The 21,075-nt window shown below is 45.2% G+C and overlaps 1 protein-coding gene across 6 annotated transcripts in view; it reads right to left on the bottom strand.

Annotated features, from left to right (window-relative positions):
* TYW1 (tRNA-yW synthesizing protein 1 homolog) overlaps positions 1–21,075 on the bottom strand; it is a 242,682-nt gene that overhangs the window by 211,500 nt on the left and 10,107 nt on the right. For all 6 annotated transcript variants that reach the window (NR_134540.2, NM_018264.4, XM_017012392.3 and 3 more), the window contains exons 4-7: positions 18,331–18,432; positions 13,454–13,648; positions 9,872–10,162; positions 2,993–3,115 (exon numbers count right to left, since the gene is read on the bottom strand). Coding sequence is in view for 5 of the 6 variants with exons in the window: in NM_018264.4 (NP_060734.2) it covers positions 2,993–3,115; positions 9,872–10,162; positions 13,454–13,648; positions 18,331–18,432 (711 nt within the window). In the remaining variant the exon portion in view is untranslated. The remainder of the gene's footprint in view (positions 1–2,992; positions 3,116–9,871; positions 10,163–13,453; positions 13,649–18,330; positions 18,433–21,075) is intronic.

Here is a 21,075-nt window from a genome sequence, read left to right as displayed (position 1 = left end):
AATCCACCCACCTCGGCCTCCCAAAGTGCTGGGATTACAAGCATGAGCCACCACACCCAGTCAGGTCTGCTTTTTTTTTTTTTTTGAGATGGAGTCTCGCTCTGTCACCCAGGCTGGAGTGCAGTGGCGCGATCTCTGCTCACTACAAGCTCTGCCTCCCGGGTTCACGCCATTCTCTTGCCTCAGCCTCCCGAGTAGCTGGGACTACAGACATCCACTACCACACCTGGCTAATTTTTTGTATTTTTAGTAGAGACGGGGTTTCACCGTGTTAGCCAGGATGGTCTCGATCACCTGACCTCGTGATCTGCCTGCCTCGACCTCCCAAAGTGCTGGAATTACAGGTGTGAGCCACCGCGCCTGCAGGTCTGCCTTTTTTTGAAAGAGTTCATTGCATAGTAAAAAGATTAACACCTTGTCTGAGATATAAGAGGCAAATAGTTCCTCCTGTTTTGCCTTTTGATTTTTCTTATGGCCATGTAAAACACTTTAAAGTCATTCATAAATTTAATATTTTTTTATTGCTTCTAGATTTTGAATCATACAGAAAAGCTTTCTCCAGGTTATACAATAATCCATCTGATTCTACTATGGTCATGTAAAACACTTTAAAATCATTCATAAATTTAATTTTTTTTATTGCTTCTAGATTTTGAATCATATAGAAAAGCTTTCTCCAGGTTATACAATAATCCATCTGATTCTACTATCTATATGATTTTTTCAACATTCAGCATTTAGCTCGCTCATCCATTTGGAAATTATTCTGACATATATACAAGCTAACAGACGTTTCACATCTTTTTTTTTTTTTTGAAACAAGGTCTCACAATGTCATGCAGGCCGGGGTGCAGTGACATGATCACAGCTCACTGCAGCCTCAAACTCCCAGGTCCAAGCAACCCTTCCACCTCAGCCTCCCAAGCAGTTGTGACTACGGGCACATGCCACTACAACTAGCTAATTTTTTTTATTTCTTGTAGAGATGGGGTTTCACTATGTTGCTGAGCCTGGTCCCAAACTTCTGGCCTCAAGAAATCCTCCCATCACGTCAGCCTCCCAAAGTGCTGGGATTACAGGGTGAGCCACTGCACTCAGCCAACATAATTTATTTTTAGAGTCCCTTTTAAACTCCAGGTCTTCAGAGTCCACCTTTAATATATATGAAATTCCTACATATTCTTAGAATTTTATTCTGTTGCAAGGGTCTTTGTCTCATCATGAGCCAGTACTACAGTTTTAATTAGAGATACCTTGTGGTATGGTTCAATATGTGGGAGTCTTGACAGAGCAAGACTCCGTCTCAAAAAAAAAAAAATAGGCAGACCTGGCTGGGTGTGGTGGCTCATCCTTCTCATCACTACTTTCACCAGGGTTTTCATAACTATTATTCCATGTTTATTTTTTCCACATGAATAGATCAATCTAGATCTAAGAGTCTAGAGGACCTACTAGAATTTTTATTGGGATTCCATCAAACTTATATATTAAGAGAACTGACATCTTTACCATTCTGAGTCACTCTACCTAAAACAAGGAATGTCTTTCCATTTGTTCGAGTCCACTTTGATGCCATTCAGGAATGTTTTAAAGTTTTCCAACGTAGGTTTAAGACACTTCTTTTTAAATTAATCTGTAGGTAGGCCAGGTGTGGTAACTCATGTGTGTAATCCCAGCACCACAGGAGGCCAAGGCGGGCAGATCACCTGAGGTCAGGAGTTCGAGACCAGCCTGGCCAACATGGTGAAATCCCGTCTCTACTAAAAATACAAAAATTAGCTCAGCGTGGTGGTATGCACCTGTAGTCCCGGCTACTCGGGAGGCTGAGGCAGGAGAATCACTTGAAACCAGGAGGCAGAGGTTGCAGTGAGCCGAGATTGCACCACTGCACTCCAGCCTGGGTGACAGAATGAGACTCCATTTCAAAAAAATAAAAAATAAATTAATCGATAGGTAATTATTTATCTTTTATGTAGCTAGTCTAAATGAGGTGTTCTCTTTTACTATAGCTTCTAACTGGCTATTGTTTGGAAATATAAAGTCTATTGACTTTCTACATTATGATATCCTGCTAACCTTACTGAGTTCATTTGAATTTGTATAGGTTTTAGCATTGATTTTCTTGGATTTTCTAGTAGCTTTTTTTTTTAAGGCTTATGGACTACATATAATTTTAATTTGGGGGATTCTCATTTTCCAAAACTCACAGTTAAATTGAGGCTGTTATTTTTATAGTATAGTATACACAATATTACTTCAATTTTAGATCACTGGAATCTGCATGAAATCCTACTGCATCGTACATTCTCACATTCATCTAGTCACTGAAACAGTCACATCCCAGATTGGTATTTCCTGGATTCCTAGGGGCCCCAGTCATGCTGATCTCCACACCCACAGACCAGGCTGCCATCCTTAAGCCCCAACACCACTTAGTCTATACAGCAGAGAAGCAAATTTACACTGGAGTTTCACTTGGAATCTCAACCATAATAAATCCTATCATGCTGTTCATCTTCAAATAGCCCTGAATAAAATCTCTCTAACCATCTACAACAAGCTTGTCCAACCCACAGCCCACTGGCCCAACACAAATTTGTAAGCTTTCTTAAAACATTATGAGATTTATTTTGCGATTTTTTTTTTTTAGCTCATCAGCTATCATTAGTGTATTTTATGTGTAGCCCAAGACATTTTTTCTACCAATGTGGCCCAGGAAAGCCAAAAGATTGGACACCCCCAATCTACAATGTCCTCAGTCCTTGTTCTCAAATCTCCTGCTTATCCTCTGATGAGCTGACTTTCACAGGCCTGAGAAGGGAGATGCTCACCACGCTCATGAAAAATGGCAAAAAAATTATAAAACTCTCAAGACAGAAGCTAGAGAAATGAAACTCCTCTGTGAGCTCAGATGGACTACACAGTAATAAAGAAATACTAAATGTTAACCAACTGCGGGAGCCAAGTGCAACATTTCCCAAAGTAACGGTACCTTTTCTTTCTTCACATGATCCATAATTTTGCCCAAATCTTCAACATCAACAATGGAATTTAGGCTCTGATGGTCCTCACCACCAAACTCTTCTTCACTGGAGCTCTCAAAGGGTTCTTCCTCCTGGAAGAGAAATGCTTCAGAAATACATTGTTCAAAGGGGCAAAGGCAAAGCTCTCTTACCCTCCCTCCCACACTGAGAATTCACTATGTCTCTAAATTCTTTTTTTTTTTTTTTCTTTGAGACAGGGTCTCGCTCTGTCGCCCAGGCTGGAGCACAGTGGCGTCATCTCAGCTCACTGCAACCTCCACCTCTCAGGTTCAAGCCATTCTCCTGCCTCAGCCTCCCAAGTAGCTAGGATCACAGGCGCCTACCACCACGCCTGGCTAATTTTTGTAGTTTTAGTAGAGACAGGGTTTCACCATGTTGGCCAGGCTGGTCTCGAACCCCTGACCTCAGGTAATCCACCCACCTCAGCCTCCCAAAGTGCTGAGATTACAGGCGTGACGACAGTGCTCGGCTGTCTATAAATTCTTACTTTAAAAATAAAATCTAGGCTGGGCATGGTGGCTCACACTCATAATCCCAGCACTCTGTGAGGCCAAGATGGGAGGACTTTGAAACCTCAGGAGTTTGAAACCAGCCTGGGGAACATAGCAAGACCACATTGCTACAAAAAAATGTATACAATTAGCCAGATGTGGTAGCACATGCCTATAATCCCAACTACTTAGGAGGCTGACGCAGGAGCATCACTTGAAGCCAGGAGTTCAAGACCAGCCTGGGCAACATAGTGAAACCCTCATCTCTACAAAAACAACAACAACAACAATGAAGAAATAAATCTTAAGTCTTTAGCATCAGACTAACAACTGTGAAAGGGCATGATGGAGTGGGAACAACTAACACTTCACCTGCCCTCTCACGTCACAGTGACATGAGCTGGGCTCAGGGGAACGAGACACATACCAAGCAGAAGTAGAGGAAATGTGACATCACTGGGAAGACACATTTGCTGAGTATCTACTACGTCCCCAACACAATGTTCATATACCCATTCATTTCATCCTTAACTACTTATGATGTAGACAGGTTCAACATCATCTCATAGATGAGGAAATTAAAGGTAGAGAAGTTAAGAAATCACAGCTAATACGTGGCAGCCTTCATCCCTTTCTCCAATTGAGGATAAGGCAGAATAAAACGTTAGAGAGATTTTTTTGTTTGTTCTTTGTTGTTGTTGTTTTTGTTGTTGTTGTTGAGTCTTGCTCTGTCACCCAGGCTGGAGTGCAGTGGCGTGATCTTGGCTCACTGCAACCTCTACCTCCTTGGTTCAAGCAATTCTCATGCCTCAGCCTCCAGAGTAGCTGGGACTACAGGCATGCACCATCACACCCAGCTAATTTTTGTATTTTTAGTAGAGACAGGGTTTCACCATGTCAGCCAGGCTGGTCTCAGACTCTTGACCTCAGGTGACGCGCCCGCCTCAGCCTCCCAAATTGCTGGGGTTACAAATGTGAGCCACCGTGCCCAGCTGATAAAGAGATTTTTAAGAGGTGAAGTAGTTCTTTGTTTTCAACAGCAGGTACTTTCTCAGTAACTCAAGGGTCACTTTAAAAGAAACGGGCCGGACACAGTGGCTCACTCCTGTAATCCCAGCACTTTGGGAGGCCAAGGAAGATGGATCACCTGAGGTCAAGAGTTCGAGACAAGCCTGACCAACATGGTGAAACTCTGTCCCTACTAAAAATACAAAAATTAGCCGAGCGTGGTGGCATGCGCCTGTAGTCCCAACTACTCCAAAGGCTGAGACAGGAGAATTGCTTGAACCCAGGAGGTGGAGGTTGCAGTGAGCCGAGATCGTGACCCTGCACTCCAGCTTTGGCAACAGAGCAAGACTCCATCTCAAAAAAAAGAAAAGAAAAAAATTAAATTAAAAGAAACAAAATGTCAATAACCTTCATATGCTGGCCAATATGCCCCACAGTATAGCAGAGAGATGTCATATAATCAGATGCTGCTGATAAGTGTTCAATACAAAATAAAACAGCCCCTCTTAGACGAGGTCACGCCTGTCCTGTGCCAGATGATAGGATTATCACGGACGATCTTACGCTCTCCTATTTGAAACCAAGCCTGAGACTACAGAAGTGGCGCTGTGGCTGGCTCTCTGGTTCTCTTTTGCTTTGTCAATAAATGAGTAGTCTTCTCTGCCTTGCTTCCAGATGACAAAATAAATTGTTCCCAGAAATAAGTGTATGAATGTGTTCTTTAATTTAGCCCAGCTTCAACAGAAAGTCTCTGCCAGTTAACTCCACCCTGATATCCCAGCCTCATGCCCAAGCTGTCAAGAAGAGACAAGTACACCACGTGAAACATACTTGCTAACAATTAGTCCATTTTTAGATCTTCTAGTCCAGTGTCTCCCAACCAGTTTGTCTAAATATATAACAATACCTTCAGTATTAGGATCTCCTGATGCACTCATTTTCCTAGAATTGCAAGAAGTTCCGTATTGCCCATGTGCCCTATGCTCCTACCTCATCATTTCCAATAAATTTCAGAATATTAGACACAGAAGAGACATCAGGGATCATCTAGTCCAATCTCACCATGTTATCCTGGACAAGAAGTCAGTAAACTTTTACTGTAAAACACCAAATTGTAAGTATTTCTGACCTTGTGGGGCATACAATCCTGTCTTTACTATGCAAATCTGCCCCTCTAACACCAAAGCAGCTATGACAATACATAAATGAATGAACATGGCTATGCTTCCAAAACTTTTATTTTAAAAAATTAAAAAACAAGCTGGGTGCAGTGGCTCACACTTATAATCCCAACACTTTGGGAGGCCAAGGCAGGAGGATCGCTTGAGCTCAGCAGTTTGAGACCAGCCTGGGCAACACAGTGGGACCTCATCTCTACAAAAAATTAAAAAAACTTAGCTGGGCATGATGGTGCATGCCTGTAGGCCCAGCTACTCAGGAGGCTGAGATAGGAGGATCACTTGAGCCCAGGAGTTAGAGGCTGCAGTGAGCTATGCACTACTGCACTCCAGCCTGGGGAACAGACCAGCCCCTGTCTCAAAAGAAAAACAGGCAATAGGCTGGATCTGGCCAGTGAGCCTGTTTGCTGGTCCTTGTCCTAGACTCTTCTTGATAACTTCTCCTTAGACTCAAGTTTCTAATGGAAAGACTCATGTCGAGAATTTACTTTTTCCAAAAGGAACCTATTTCATCTTCACATCAAATCAAATCAAAACTGCTAACTTGGTTCTGTGACCTTGGGAAACTTCAAAAGTTATCTTGAACACTGCATATACTCATGGTAGCCAGTAGTGCTTGAAAATTAATGCGACACATTCCCCTGGTCCTCACAAAGATTCCAATCCAGTAAGAGACACACAGATACTACATCGAAAGGGGAAATGCTTTAATGAAAGGGTTTAGGAATACGAAAAGGAGCCATGCAGTGGGCTCCAAATCTACGGGTGGCTGCCCGAATGAGACGATACCTGAGTCAAATGTGAAGGGTAAGTAAACAGGCCCAGCCAGGGAAAGACATGTGGGAACGCTGTTGGAAGGGGATGGGCAAAGTCACTTAGGCAAGCACCAGGAGGCATGCAGCTACTATCAGTCACTCAGAAAGTACCAGCAGATGGAGAATAAAGCACATGACATGGGAAGAAAATGTAGCAGAGAAAGATGTGGGCCGGACTGCAAAGGATCTTGCCTGTCCTGGAAAGAGAGAATGAGAAGCGTCTAACATGGTCTGAACAGAGAAGTAACACAGACCTGCACTTCAATAGCTCACTCAACTGGGAAGACAGAAGGTAATTTAAGGGAAACAAGAATATAGACAAGGATAAATCTGAACAACGTATGACAATCCCCTAGGGAAGAAAAGATGTTGGCCTGAACTAAAGAGTAACAGGTGAGCACAAAGTTGGATATTCAAACTCATTTGACAAATTTGTTTTTTATTTTTTTTGGAGACAGCGTCTCGCTCTGTCACCCAGGCTGGAGTGCAGTGACGCAATCTCGGCTCACTGCAACCTCCACCTCCCAAGTTCAAGCGATTCTCCTGCTTCAGCCTCCCGAGTAGCTGGGATTACAGGTGCCTGCCAGCATACCCAGCTAATTTTTGTATTTTTAATAGAGACAGGGTTTCACCATGTTGGTCAGGCTGGTCTCGAACTCCCAACCTCATGATCCGCCTGCCTTGGATTCCCAAAGTGCTGGGATTATAGGCATGAGCCACCGCGCCCAGCCTTGACAAATATTTTTAGAACCAAGGAGACCACGTAGCTAGAGGCTGGAGAGGAAGAGAGAGAATAATAGGATGACAATGGAGAAATTCAAGAGTCAGATTAGGTGCTAAGGTCACACTAAGCAACGAAGTTTTTATGAAAGCAGCAGCAATGAAAAATCACTTTTAAACAGGAGGTTAACATGGTCTGATTTGTATTTTTAAGATTACTTGGCCGGACACAATGGCTCACGTCTGTAATCCCAGCACTTTGGGAGGCCGAGGCAGGTGGATCACGAGGTCAGGAGATTGAGACCATCCTGGCTAATGTGGTGAAAGCCGGTATCTACTAAAAACATAAAAAATTAGCTGGGCGTGGTGGCGGGCGTCTGTAGTCTCAGCTACTCGGGAGCCTGAGGCAGGAGAACTGCTTGATCATAGCTCACTGCAGCTTTGAACTCCTGAGCTCAAGTGATCCTCCTGCCTCGGCCTCCTGAGTAGCAGGGATTTACAGGCCTGAGCCACCATCCTGTCTACTTTTAATTTTTGTTTTTGTGGAAACAGGGTCTCACTATTTTGCCCAGGCTGATCTTGAACTCCTAGCCTCCAGCAATCCTCCCACCCACCTTGGCCTCCCAAAGTGTTGGGATTATAGGCATGAGCCTCCACACTGGCTGTAAGCTCTTTAACTTATGGGACCCATAACCTGAATTGAAATTGATGTTTCATTCCAATTTCATTGCAGTCATAGCTTGGACTGAAATGAAATTGGAATGAAACATCTGTCATATCACTTCCTGTTGAGCTAAGTAATTATCTCTTGAAGCCATCTGCTCTGTGGGCTTGACTCAGACTGACTGACTCCAGGTAGCCATAAAATGCTATTTGCATTGCACACCATACCTCATATCCTGTCATTCAACAGTGCATAGCTAATCACTAATCAATATTATCGCTATAAAGCAATGAGAATTTCTGTCCAACAACTTGGTATCGACCACTCCTTGTTCCCTTTGCTTTTAAAAACCTGCTTGTAACAAAAGCTAATGGAGCAGTCCCTTCAGCTGCAAAGTGTGTCTGAGACAGCTGCCCTCATTTTGGCTCAAATAAACTCTTTAAATTATATTTATATATTTTGGCTAGGTGCAGTGGCTCACCCCTGTAATCCCAATCCCAGCGCTGTCCGAGGCCAAGATGGGAGGTTTGCTCGAGGCCAGGAGTTAGAGACTAGCCTGGGCAACATAGTGAGACACTGTCTCTAATTTACAAAACGGTCTGGGCATGGTGGCTCATGCCTGTAATCCCAGCACTTTGGGAGGCCGAGGCGGGCAGATCACCTGAGGTCAGGAGTTCGAGACCAGCCTAACCAACATGATGAAACCCCATCTCTATTAAAAAAATACAAAAATTAGCTGGGCGTAGTGGTACGTGCCTGTAATCCCAGCTACTCAGGAGGCTGAGGCAGGAGATGGGAGCTGGGGGAAGGGTTGGGGAGGAAATGAGTATGAAACAGTCAACTTGGAGAGTAAGAAGGGGAATCTGCAAGGGAAGGTGTGAGCCTGTAGAGCACTTCTGAGTCTAAACTTGAGCCCGTGGTCGTGAATCTATAGTCAAACAATCAGCAGCAGACACGGGGAAGGCTGATGTGAAGGGGATGGTTTCAGCCTGGCTTGGGGTTTGGCCAGTCGGGTTACAAGAGTGAGTGAGAGGTAAAGCAATTGAAAACGTTAAGGCTGGGCACGGTGGGTCACGCCTGTAATCCCAGTATTTTGGGAGGCCCAGTATTTTGTTTTTTTCTTTTTTTTTTTTTTTTTTGAGACTGAGTCTCACTCTGTCGCCCGGGCTGGAGTGCAGTCGCATGATCTCAGATCACTGGAACCTCCACCTCCCGGGTTCAAGCGATTCTCGTGCCTCAGCCTCCCAAGTAGCTGGGATTACAGGTGCCCGCCACCACACCTGGCTAATTTTTGTATTTTTAGTAGAGATGGGGTTTCGCCACGTTGGCCAGAATGGTCTCGAACTCCCGACTTCAAGTGATCCACCCACCTTGGCCTCCCAAAAGTGCTGGGATTACAAGCGTGAGCCACCGTGCCCGGCCTAAAGAAGAGATTCTGGAAAGCATCTAGCACGATATGGCTTAATTCCTAAGGCCTCTCTCTCTCTCTGAAACACCACCACATGAGTTTCACATCTTCCTTCTTTTTTTGTTATTGTTTCTGTCTTTGTTTTTGGGGCAGGGTCTCACTCTGTTGCCCAGGCTGGAGGGCAGTGGCATGATCACAGCTCACTGCAGTCTCAAACTCCTGGGCTCAAGCAATCCTCCCAACTCCACCTCCTACGTAGCTGAGACAACAGGCATGCACCACCATGCCTTGCTAAATTTAAAATTATTGTGGTAAAGATAGGGTCTTGCTATGTTGCCCAGGCTGGTCTTGAACTCCCGGACTCAAGCAATACCCCCACCTTGGTCTCCCAAAGTGTGGGGATTACAAGTGCGAGCCACTGCACTCAGCCAGATCTTCCTTCTAACCAGAAGCCAACGAGATGGTTTATTGAGAAAGAGGTCAAGCTCGAGATCTCCAAGCAGAAGAGGAAAGCCTCGAGAGATGAACACACAGGCGGTATACCTCGGTGTCTCTATGATGCAATTCATCCTGCTCATGAGATCCTTCCTCCCTCTCCTCTGAGCCATGTTGGTGAGATTCACATTTGCCTTTCTTGCAGTGGCCGCCACAGGACTTCTTTCTCTCCCCTTTCTGAAGTGCCTGCAGCTGGGAGATGAACTTGGTCTTCCATGCTCTGAAGTCGGCCTCAATGCTGCCGTGCTTGCTTTTAACCACGTCGCAGTCGCCCTCCCCTCGACTCATCACACGATGCGCGCCAAGCATCCAGAGCCACTTGTCAACATTTTTGCCAACCTGTGAGGAAAAGATAGATAGGCTAAAAGCACGGTTCTCTAAATCAGGGTTTTCCAGACTGCTCTGCAAAAGCCCAAAGTCCTTCCGAGGCCCCTGGTCATGGGCTGCCGCTAAGGAAGAGGAAATTGCTGGCAAAATGACCTTCAAGCCTTCAAGCTCCAGCCTTGACCCAGAAGAGGGTCATTTTATGTATTCTACTTTTCTGCCTTAGATTTATTTTTTTAAACAAAAGGACAAACAAACCCCCTTTATCAAATGAAGGATTAATGACTAAAAAAAAAAATTTGAAACCTACCATTCTATATCATGATAAGAACAAAACAGGAGTTAACAAAATAAATGAGTTCCAAAAATGTAACAAAGCCTATGGGGCCTAAGCCTACTCAGTTATAAAATGAAAATGTAATCAATTTGGCAAGATTCGTAATTTCCTAAACTCAGTAATTTATTTCACTGTGATATGAAGCAATTAAGCTGAGGAACAGGAGTTATCAGAGGCATAGTTAAGAGTTCAAAAACTTAATAAGCTTCCTGAGTGGCAAGGCATTAAACAAAATATTTACGTATCTACGCCAGGCGAAGTGTCTCATGTCTGTAATCCCAGCACTTTGGGAGGCTGAGGCAGGCAGATTGTTTCAGGCCAGGAGTTCAAGACCAGCCTGGCCAACACGGTGAGACCCCATCTCTACTAAAAATACAAAAATTAGTGGGGCATGGTGGCACATGCCTATAATTCAGGCTACTTGTAAGGTCGAGTCATGAGAATTCCTTGAACCCTGGAGGCAGAAGTTGCAATGAGCCGAGATTGTGCCATTGCACTCCAGCCTGGGCAAGAGAGTGACTCTGTCTCAAAAAAAAAAAAAAAAAAAAAATTTACATATCTGAATTTTCCCAATCATAGTCTAATTTATTTGAAAATATGGGGAGAGGCCAGATGCAGTGGCTCACGCCTATAATTCCAGCACCTTGGGAGACCGGGGTGAGAAGAATGCTCAAGCCCGAGTTCAACACCAGCCTGGGCACCAAAGTAAAACCCCATCTCTACAAAAAATACAAAAACTAGCTGGATGTGTGGTGGGCGCCTGTGGTCCCAGCTACTCAGTAGGCTAAGGTGGGAGGATCACCTGAGCCCAGGGAGGTCGAGGCTGCAGCAAGCCACTGAACTCCAACCTAGGCAACATGGTGAGACCCTCTCTCAAAAAACACATAATCAAAAATGTTTTTAATGAAAATATGGAGCAAAATCTACATTGTGACACAACAATAGAATGAAAACAGCTTTTATTTTATTTATTTATTTTTTTTGAGACAGAGTTTCACTCTTGTTACCAAGGCTGGAGTGCAATGGCACGACCTCGGCTCACTGCAAACTCTACCTCCCGGGTTCAAGTGATTCTCCTGCCTCAGCCTCCCAAGTAGTTGGGACTACAGGCATGCACCACCACGCCCGGCTAATTTTGTATTTTTAGTAGAGATGGGGTTTCTCCATGTTGGTCAGGCTGGGGTCGAACTCCCGACCTCAGGTGATCCGCCCGCCTCTGCCTCCCAAAGTGCTGGCATTACAGGAGTGTGCCACTGCGCCCGGCCGTAAACAGCTTTTAAAAAAAACTCCCCACCTCCACCGTCACTCACACTCCACCAGAGACAGACAGCTAGGCAGGGCCCATCCCTAGGAAGAGGTACACAATGCAAATGACCAAGAAACTGAGAGGCTCCATCGTTTCATTTTTTCAAGTGTAGAGAACAGGATGCAAAAGGAGCCAAGTTAATTTCATTTAGAAAAATAGCCCGGGAAAACTAACCAAAAAATTTAATGTTTTATTATGTAAAGTGCAATGAATGTTTTTTCCTTCATTTCCCTTGAAAAATTCATGATCTTTTTTTTTTTTTGAGACATAGTCTCACTCTGTTGCCCAGGCTAGAGTGCAGTGGTGAGATCTCGGCTCACTGCAAGCTCTGCCTCCCGAGTACACGCCATTCTCCTGCCTCAGCCTCCCGAGTAGCTGGAACTACAGGCACCCGCCACCACACCTGGCTAATTTTTTTGTATTTTTAGCAGAGACGGGGCTTCAGCATGTTAGCCAGGATGGTCTCGATCTCCTGACCTCGTGATCCGCCTGCCTCAGCCTCCCAAAGTGCTGGGATTACAGGCGTGAGCCACCATGCCCAGCCAAAAATTTCATGATTTCTTAAAACTGAGCTCAGGCTGGACACGTTCATGCCTGTAATCCCAGAAATTTGGGAGGCTGAGGTGGGTAGGACTGCTTGAGGCCAGGAGTTTGAACCAAGCCTGGGCAACACAGTGAGACCCTCATCTCTAAAAAAATTGAAAGATTAGCCAGGGGTAGTGGTGCACGCCTATAGTTCCAGCTACTAGGGAGGCTGACTTGGGAGGATCCCTTGAGCCTAGGACTTCAAGGTTCAGAGAATTTTGATCAGGTCACTGCATTCCAGCCTGGATGACAAAGCAAGACCCTGTCCTGAAAAAATAAACATAATTTTAAAAAAAAATTTTTTTTAAGAGTTCACCTGCATAAAGAGCTTGGGCAGGCTGGGCATGCTGGCTCACACCTGTAATCCCAGCACTCTGGGAGGCCGAGGTGGGTGGATCACCTGAGGTCAGGAGTTCGAGAACAGCCTGGCCAACATGGTGAAACCCTGTCTCTACTAAAAATGCAAAAAAATTAGCCAGGCATGGTGGTGGGTGCCTGTAATCCCAGCTACTCGGGAGGCTGATAAATGAGAACCGCTTGAACCCGGGAGGCGGAGGTTGCAGTCAGCTGAGATCCCGCCACTGCACTCCAGCTGGGGATTAGAGCAAGACTCTGTTTCCAAAAAAAAAAAAACAGAAGAGGCCGGGCACGGTGGCTCACTTTGGGCGGATCACATGAGGCCAGGAGTTCACAACTAGCCTGGCTGGCATGGTGAAACCCCGTCTCTAGTAAAAATACAAAAATTAGCCAAGCCTGGTGGCACATGCCTGTAATCCCAGCTACTCGGGAGGTTGAGGCAGGAGAAATCACTTGAACCCGGGAGCTAGAAGTTGCAGTGAGCTGAGATGGTGCCACTGCACTCCAGCCTGGGCGACAGAGCAAAACTCTATCTCAATCAATCAATTAATAAAATAATAGAAGAAATGTATTTATTACTAGCTACCAAAGTTTGTGGATTATTTCACATACATGTGTGTTTATGTGTGTGTGCGTGTGTGCACGTGTGTGTGTTTACGTGTGTGTGCGTGTGTGTGTGTTTATGGGGAGAATTTATTCCTATAATTCAATATAGACCTACCTTGTTGAAGTGGCTAGCATAGGCAGAATTTCCCAGGCCAAATACCGCATATCTCATACCCTTCAGGTAAGTTTTGCCAAATCGAAAATCAATGGATGCTTCCTCTAACCATTTGCAGAACCACTCTGCACTTTCAGTTGGTAGGCCGTCAGTGTATGTCGCAACCAGGAAGACACAGACATTTTTACTAGTCACCTAACCAAGAAAGTAATTGTTTCAGTGGAACATACAAGGCATAAATTATCTCAATGAAGAAAATCCTTTGAAAAAAAGCATACTCATCTCAAAGAACAAAGGGCACCTTCATAAACATGGTTCATCTTCAAAAGTGAAGGGCATGACTAAGAAACACAGCAAGAACAGCTTGCACGGGGGAGAAAACCCAGTCCCTTGCTCCTGCCAGTATACCTCCTGGTATATTTCACCATATACGCCATTCCGTTATCCAGACTATACATTCTCATCATCGCTAATTTGCCACAGTGGAAACAAAATCCAAATCAATCAAGAAAAAATACAGGCCGGGTGCGGTGGCTCAAGCCTGTAATCCCAGCACTTTGGGAGGCTGAGGCGGGCGGATCACAATGTCAGGAGATCGAGACCATCCTGGCTAATACGGTGAAACCTCGTCTCTACTAAAAATACAAAAAATTAGCCGGGCGTGGTGGCGGGTGCCTGTAGTCCCAGCTACTCAGGAGGCTGAGGCAGGAGAATGGCATGAATCCAGGAGGCAGAGCTTGCAGCGAGCCAAGATCACGTCACTGCACTCCAGCCTGGGCGACAGAGCAAGACTCCATCTCAAAAAAAAAAAAAAAAAAAAAAGGAAAAAATGCAGAGAGATGGCCAGGCACGGTGGCTACTAATGGAAGAACACACTGGGGGAAAATAAGGCACCTGAGTTTCAAACCTTAAGAGAAAACAACAGCTCATGTTCCTGCTTCCTTAGAGTGGAAGCTGCTCTGTGGTGTCAGAAAGACAAGGAATGTGGTGACCTTGCTTACCCAATAAGAGTTGTATTTGGTGTTTGAGATTGTTTTAAATCTCTGAAGTCTCCAAGGAATAGGGGAACCATGTTCTAGGTCCATTACCATCTCCTCAGGCAGGAAGCTGTGAATATCCATATCAAGGCAGTGGATGTTGGCTGGGCCCAGTGGCTCATACCTGTAATCCCAGGACTTTGGGAGGTTGAGGCGGGTGGATCACTTGAGATCAGGAGTTCAAGACCAGCCTAAGCAACACAGTGAAACCCCATCTCTACTAAAAATACAAAAACTAGGCAAGCGTGGTAGTGGGTGCCTGTAGTTCCAGCTACTCGGGAGGCTGAGGCAGGAGAACTGCTTGAGCCCAGGAGGCAGAGGCTGCAGTGGGCCACCATCACACCCCTGCACACTGCACTCCAGCCTGGGCAACGAAGCGAAGACTCCATCTCAAAAAAAAAAAAGAAAAGAAAAGAAAAAATACAGAGAGATCTCTAAAAAATTATCTAATAAATTAAAGCAATAAAAAGTTTTAAACATAAAGTAATTTAACACTTGGCACCATTATCTAAACAGAACTGTTGCAAATCCCGGGGATACAAAATACAGGCTAGGTATCCGTTATCCAAAATGTTTGGGATGGGAAGTTTTTTGGATTTTAGAGGTTTTTTTCTGTTTTGGTTTTTTTTTTTAAATCTGCATATACATAATGATGTACCTTGGGGATATATCAAGTCTAAACACAAAATTCCTTTGTTTCATATACACCTTACACACATAGCCTGTAGGTAACTTTATACAATATTTTTCACAATTTCATATATGAAACAAACTTTTGACTGCGTTTTGACCTTGACCCATTACAGGAGGTCAGGTGCGAAATTTTCCACTTGTGGCCTCCTGTCAGCGCTCCAGAAATTTGGATTTTAAAGCATTTCCAATTTGCGGTTCAGGGATTCTCAACCTGTGTATCCTTAGTCTTGATAGCCTGGTGTTTGAATTCATCTTAAGAGTTCCAAGTCATGAGGTAAGTTATAAGTAATATCAAAGTTTGCTAATAATTTTTCACAAATAATTTAGAGCACATTCAAGCTCACTCATGTGCACACCAGTACATTTTCTTGGGGGACAAAGAAATGGACAGAGTTAAAGCTAGATATTTAACCACTAAGACGGGGCCGGTAAACTACAATCCACGAGCCACATCTTGCTTGCTGCCTTTTTGCGGTTTTTTTTTGAGACAGAGTCTCGCTCTGTCACCCAGGCTGGAATGCAGTGGCATGATCTCAGCTCACTGCAACCTCCACCTCCCGAGTTTAAGCAATTCTCATGCCTCAGCCTCCCAAGTAGCTGGGACTACAGGCGCGCACCACCATGGCTAATTTTTCTATTTTTAATAGAGACGGGGTTTCACCATGTTGCCCAGGCTGTTCTTACATGTCTGAGCTCAAGCGATCCACCAGCCTTGACCTCTCAACTTGCTGGGATTATACAGGCGAGAGCCACCACGCCTGGCCTCTATTTTTTTTAAAGAAAGTTTTAGTGCAACACAGCCACACTCATTCATTTACATATTATCTATGGCTGTTTTGTGCCTCAGTGGCAAAACTGAGTAGCTGCCCAGCCCACAAAGGTGAAGATACTACCTGGCCCTTCACGTGAAAGTTTGTCAACCCCAGCTCTATGTGCTGCTTCTTTTTTTTTTTTTTTTGAGACGGAGATTTGCTTTTGTCGCCCAGGCTAGAGGGCAATGGCACGATCTTGGCTCACTGCGACCTCCGCCTCCCAGGTTCAAGCAATTCTCCTGCCTCAGCCTCCCGAGTAGTTGGGATTAACAGGCGCCCACCACCAACCCCAGCTAATTTTTGTATTTTGAGTAGAGACGTGGTTTCACCGTGTTGGCCAGGCTGGTCTCGAACTCCTGACCTCAGGTGATCCACCTACCTCAGCCTCCCAAAGTGCTGGGATTACAGGCGTGAGCCACCACACCCAGCCTCTGCTTCTCTAACTCTACCTGTGTCAGCATCACCAGGAGCACTGTTTAAGCTCTACGATGCAGCTAGGCTAAGACCTGAGATTCTGCATTTCTAGCAAGTTCACAGGAGATGCTGATGCTGCTGGCTCAGGGGCCACACTTGAGAACCACTGCTGTAGGGTGAAATCCCCTAACTGGGCATGACTGGAGAAAAAAGGGGAGGAACACTTTTCAGATGAAGAAATTAAACCCTCATAGATATTAAGTAATGCGCCTGGGCGCAGTGGCTCATGCCTGTGAACCCAGCACTATGGGAGGCCGAGGCAAATAAATCACCTGATGTCAGGAGTTCAACACCAGCCTGGCCAACACAGTGAAACCCCATCTCTACTAAAAATACAAAAATTAGCCAGGCATGGTGGTGGGCACCTGTAATCCCAGCTACTCAGGAGGCTGAGGTAGGAGAATCACTTGAACCCTGGAGTTGGAGGTTGCAGTGAGCCAAGATCATACCACTGCACTCCAGCCTGGGCAACAAGAGCGAAACTCCATTAAAAAAAAAGACATTAACTAATGCATTGAGGTCACACAGCTAATAAGAGATTTCTCTGATTCCGAAACCCATACTCTCTGCTTTTGACCTTTTGGTTGGATTGCCCATGGTCTACAAGTATAGCACACTGCCATCAATAACAACCCTTCCTTAATTAAGAGATTCAAAATAGCGGGGAGGGCTGGGCATATCTATAATCCTAGTACTTTGGGAGACTGAGGCCAGGAGTTCGAGACCCACCTGGGCAATATAGTGAGACCGTATCTCTATAAAAAATCTTTTGGCCAGGCGCGGTGACTCACGTCTGTAATCCTAGCACTTTGGGAGGCCGAGGCAGGCGGATCACAAGGTCAGGAGATTGAGACCATCCTGGCGAACACGGTGAAACCCCATCTCTACTAAAAATACAAAAAATTTGTCGGGTGTGGCGGCGGGCGCCTGTAGTCCCACCTACTCGGGAGGCTGAGGCAGGAGAATGGCGTGAACCCGGGAGGCGGAGCTTGCAGTGAGCTGAGATCGCGCCACTACACTCCAGCCTGGGTGACAGAGCGAGACTCCATGTCAAAAAAAAAAAAAAAATCTTTTAAAATTAGCAGGGCATGGCAGCACATGCCTGTAGTCTCAGCTACTTTAGGAGGCTGAGGAAGGAGGATCACTTGAGCCCGGGAGGTTGAAATTGCACCACTGTACTCCAGAGCCTGGGTGAGAGAGTGAGAGCCTGTCTCTATAAAATAAATTTTAAAAAAATAAAAATAGTAGGGGCCAGGCACAGTGGCCCATGCCTGTAATCCCAGCACTTTGGGAGGCCAAGGCGGGCAGATCACTTGAGGCCAGGAGTTTCAGACCAGCCTGGCCAACATGGTGAAACCTCATCTCTAGCAAAAAACACAGACACACACAAAAAAAATTAGCTGGGCATGGTGGTGCATGCCTGTAAATCCCAGCTACTTGGGAGGCTGAGGCAGGAGAATCACTTGAACCTGGAGACGGACATTGCACTGAACTGAGATTGCACCACTGCACTCCAGCCTGGGTGACATAGTGAGACTCCATCTCAAAAAAAAAAAAAAAGAAAAGAAAAAAGAAAATTGTGGGAAGGAGTGAACTTCCAACCACCCAAGCTTTCTCACCTCTAGCCCTGCCCCAGGAGAATTTAACATGCCTGAAGAACAAGCCCCACACCACGTGAGAATCAGTGAACCTTACCCCACATTCAATTCTCTGATTCACACTGGAATTCAACTAACTGAAATCCCTTAGCACGAAAATTAAATTTATTCTGAAGATTCTAGTTATCTAATTAAATTTACTGTGAAGATTGCAGATCAGTTAAATTTGAGAGTTTTGACTGAAGAAAAAGACAATTACCAACCTCTTCTATCAGATGATCATCTGGATCATATTCTTTTAGATTAATAATGGCCACAGGCAGATCCAGGGATGTAACTGCTTCAGCAAGAACTGTTGCGAATCCCTAATAGGACCAAAAAAAACATCAAATAAAGTCTTCAATGAGCCAAATATAACCCTCATTACCCCTGTTGGCACAAGAATGTGGCATTCCTCATGAAAAATATTTTCAGTGACTGATATGTATCTTCATGAACACAAATTCTATCCTCACTCTTACCATTTTCTTGGGCACCATTACAGAGATCATTCATTTGTGTTGTTCTCACCCGATCAGGGTTTACATAGGACTGAATCTAATTTGGCTTTGGATGATCAATCTGCCTTGCCCTACTAGAGTAAACATATCAGCCAGGCAAGATGGCTTATGCCTATAATCCCAGCACTTTGGGAGGCTGAGGTGGGAGGATCACTTGAGGCCAAGCCTGGACAACAAAGTGAGACCTCATCGTTATAAAAAAATTTAAAAATTAGCCAGGTGTGATGGCACACACCTATAGTCCCAGCTACTCAAGAGGCTGAGACGGGAAGATCCCCCGAGCCCAGGGGTTAGAGGATACAGTGAGCTACGATCACACCAATGCACTCTAGCCTGGGCCACAGACTCAGATCCTGTCTCATAAAGAAAATAACATATTAAAAAACAATAAACACAGAGAAGTGCAAAAAGAAATAGTGAAGAATGGGCTGGGCACAGTGGCTCACACCTGTAATCCCAGTACCTTGGGAGGCCGATGCAGTTGGATCACTTGAGGTCAGGAATGCGAGACCAGCCTGACCAACATGGTAAAACCCCGTCTCTACTAAAAATACAAAATTAGCCAAGCGTGGTGGCACACACCTATAATCCCAGCTACCCGGGAGGCTGAGGCAGGAGAATCACTTGAATCCAGGAGGCGGAGGTTGCAGTGAGCCAAGATTGCACCATTGCACTCCAGTCTGGGCAACAAAACTCCATCTCCAAAATAAATAAATAAATAAAATAAAAGAAAGAGTGAAGAGTGAAAAGAATGGGAAACATGAAAAGAAGCCGGTTGACAGACAGGAAAAAGTCCTAGGGAAGAGTTCACAGGGCTAACAGAACCCCAGAGAAGCTCTAGGCTGGGAGCAGCCACTACAACAAAAGATGGAATGAATATCTTTTGTACGCTAATGAGATGGCTTACTGGAGTGAGGCCTCAGATAGCTTCAGGATGGAGGCTCGTTGCCAGAGAAACTGATGAGAAGTTAAACTCAGCACCTCCTACCCCAGCCCCAACAGGGAACACTAGGGAGAGAAGAGGGGCTGGAGATTGAGTTTAATCACCAAGGCCAATGATTTAATCAATCGTGCCTATGTAATGGAGCCTCCAAGAAAAACCCCTGAACAATGGAGACTGTTGACTTGGTGAACATACCAATGTGCTGGGGAGAAGACACGGCCAGAAACGGCCTGGAAGCCCTGCTCAACCCCCACCCCTCCATAGCTGGCCCTGTGCAGCTCTTCCATTCGGCCGTTCCTGAGTTGCATCCTTTATGATAAACCACTAAACATAAGTCAAGCAACTTCCTGAGGTCTGTGAGTCATCCTATAGAACCTGAGGAGGCAGTGGTGCAGAACCCTAAATTTAAAGCCGGGACTTGTGACTGGTGTCTGAAGTGGGGGCAGTCTTGTGGGCTAATGATAACTCCCAATAGTAAGCATGAGAACTGGTATAGAAAAAGGACAGGTTGGCCAGGCGTGGTGGCTCACACCTGTAATCCCAACACTTTGGGAAGCCGAGGCGGACAGATCACCTGAGGTCAGGAGTTCAAGACCAGCCAGACCAACATGGTGAAACCCCATCTCTACTAAAAATACAAAAATTAGCCAGGAGTGGTGGTGGGCACCTGTAATCCCAGCTACTTGGGAGGCTGAGGGAGGAGAACTGCTTGAATCCAGGAGGCAGAGGTTGCAGTGAGCCGAGATCGTGCCACACTGCACTCCAGCCTGGACGACAGAGCGAGACTCCATCTCAAAAAAAAAGAGAAAAGGTATTTGGGGGTCAGAAAACAGTACTGCAGCAGGCCTCAAGGACTGATACGGTTTGGATATTCGTCCCCTCCAAATATCATTAACACGTAATCTCCAATGTTGGAAGTGAGCTCGAATAGGAGGTGTTTGGGTCATGGGGGTGGGTCCCTCAGGAGTGGCTTTGTTACCAGTGGAGGGTCTTGCCTAGGAGTTGTCCAGGTTGTTCACATGTTCAACAAAGAACTGAAAAAAATGCAACAAGCGAAGCAACAAAAACACAGATTTATTGATGGGAAGGTACACTCTACAGTCAGGAAGCAGGCTTGAGCAAGTGGCTCAAGAGCTCCAGTTGTTTTTATTAAGCTTAGGTTTTTATTAAGCTAGAAGAATTTGGTAACACCCCCAGGTATCCTTGGGAGGCTTCCAATTGGTTACACCCTATATAAATGAAGAATTGGCTCATGGCCAATCAGAGGCTGCAGTGGAGTTATACCATATGCAAATAAAGAATTAGCCCACAGCCCATCAGAGGCTAAAGCTTTCCTTTCAGTTTAATTCAAGGACGTCAGCCACAGGTTGGCCTTAGGCTCTGTCTCCAGACTCTACTTTCCTACCTCAGCTTGCCGCCCTCCCCTTGGTGTTGAGTTCTTGCCCTATTAGTTCATAGATGGCTGTTAAAAAAAAAAAAAAAAAAAAAAAAAAAAAGCCTCACAT

This window comes from Homo sapiens, chromosome 7 (genome assembly GCF_000001405.40).
Source record: "Homo sapiens chromosome 7, GRCh38.p14 Primary Assembly".
Lineage (NCBI taxonomy): Eukaryota > Metazoa > Chordata > Mammalia > Primates > Hominidae > Homo > Homo sapiens.
This window is presented reverse-complemented; position numbering and strand designations above follow the sequence as displayed.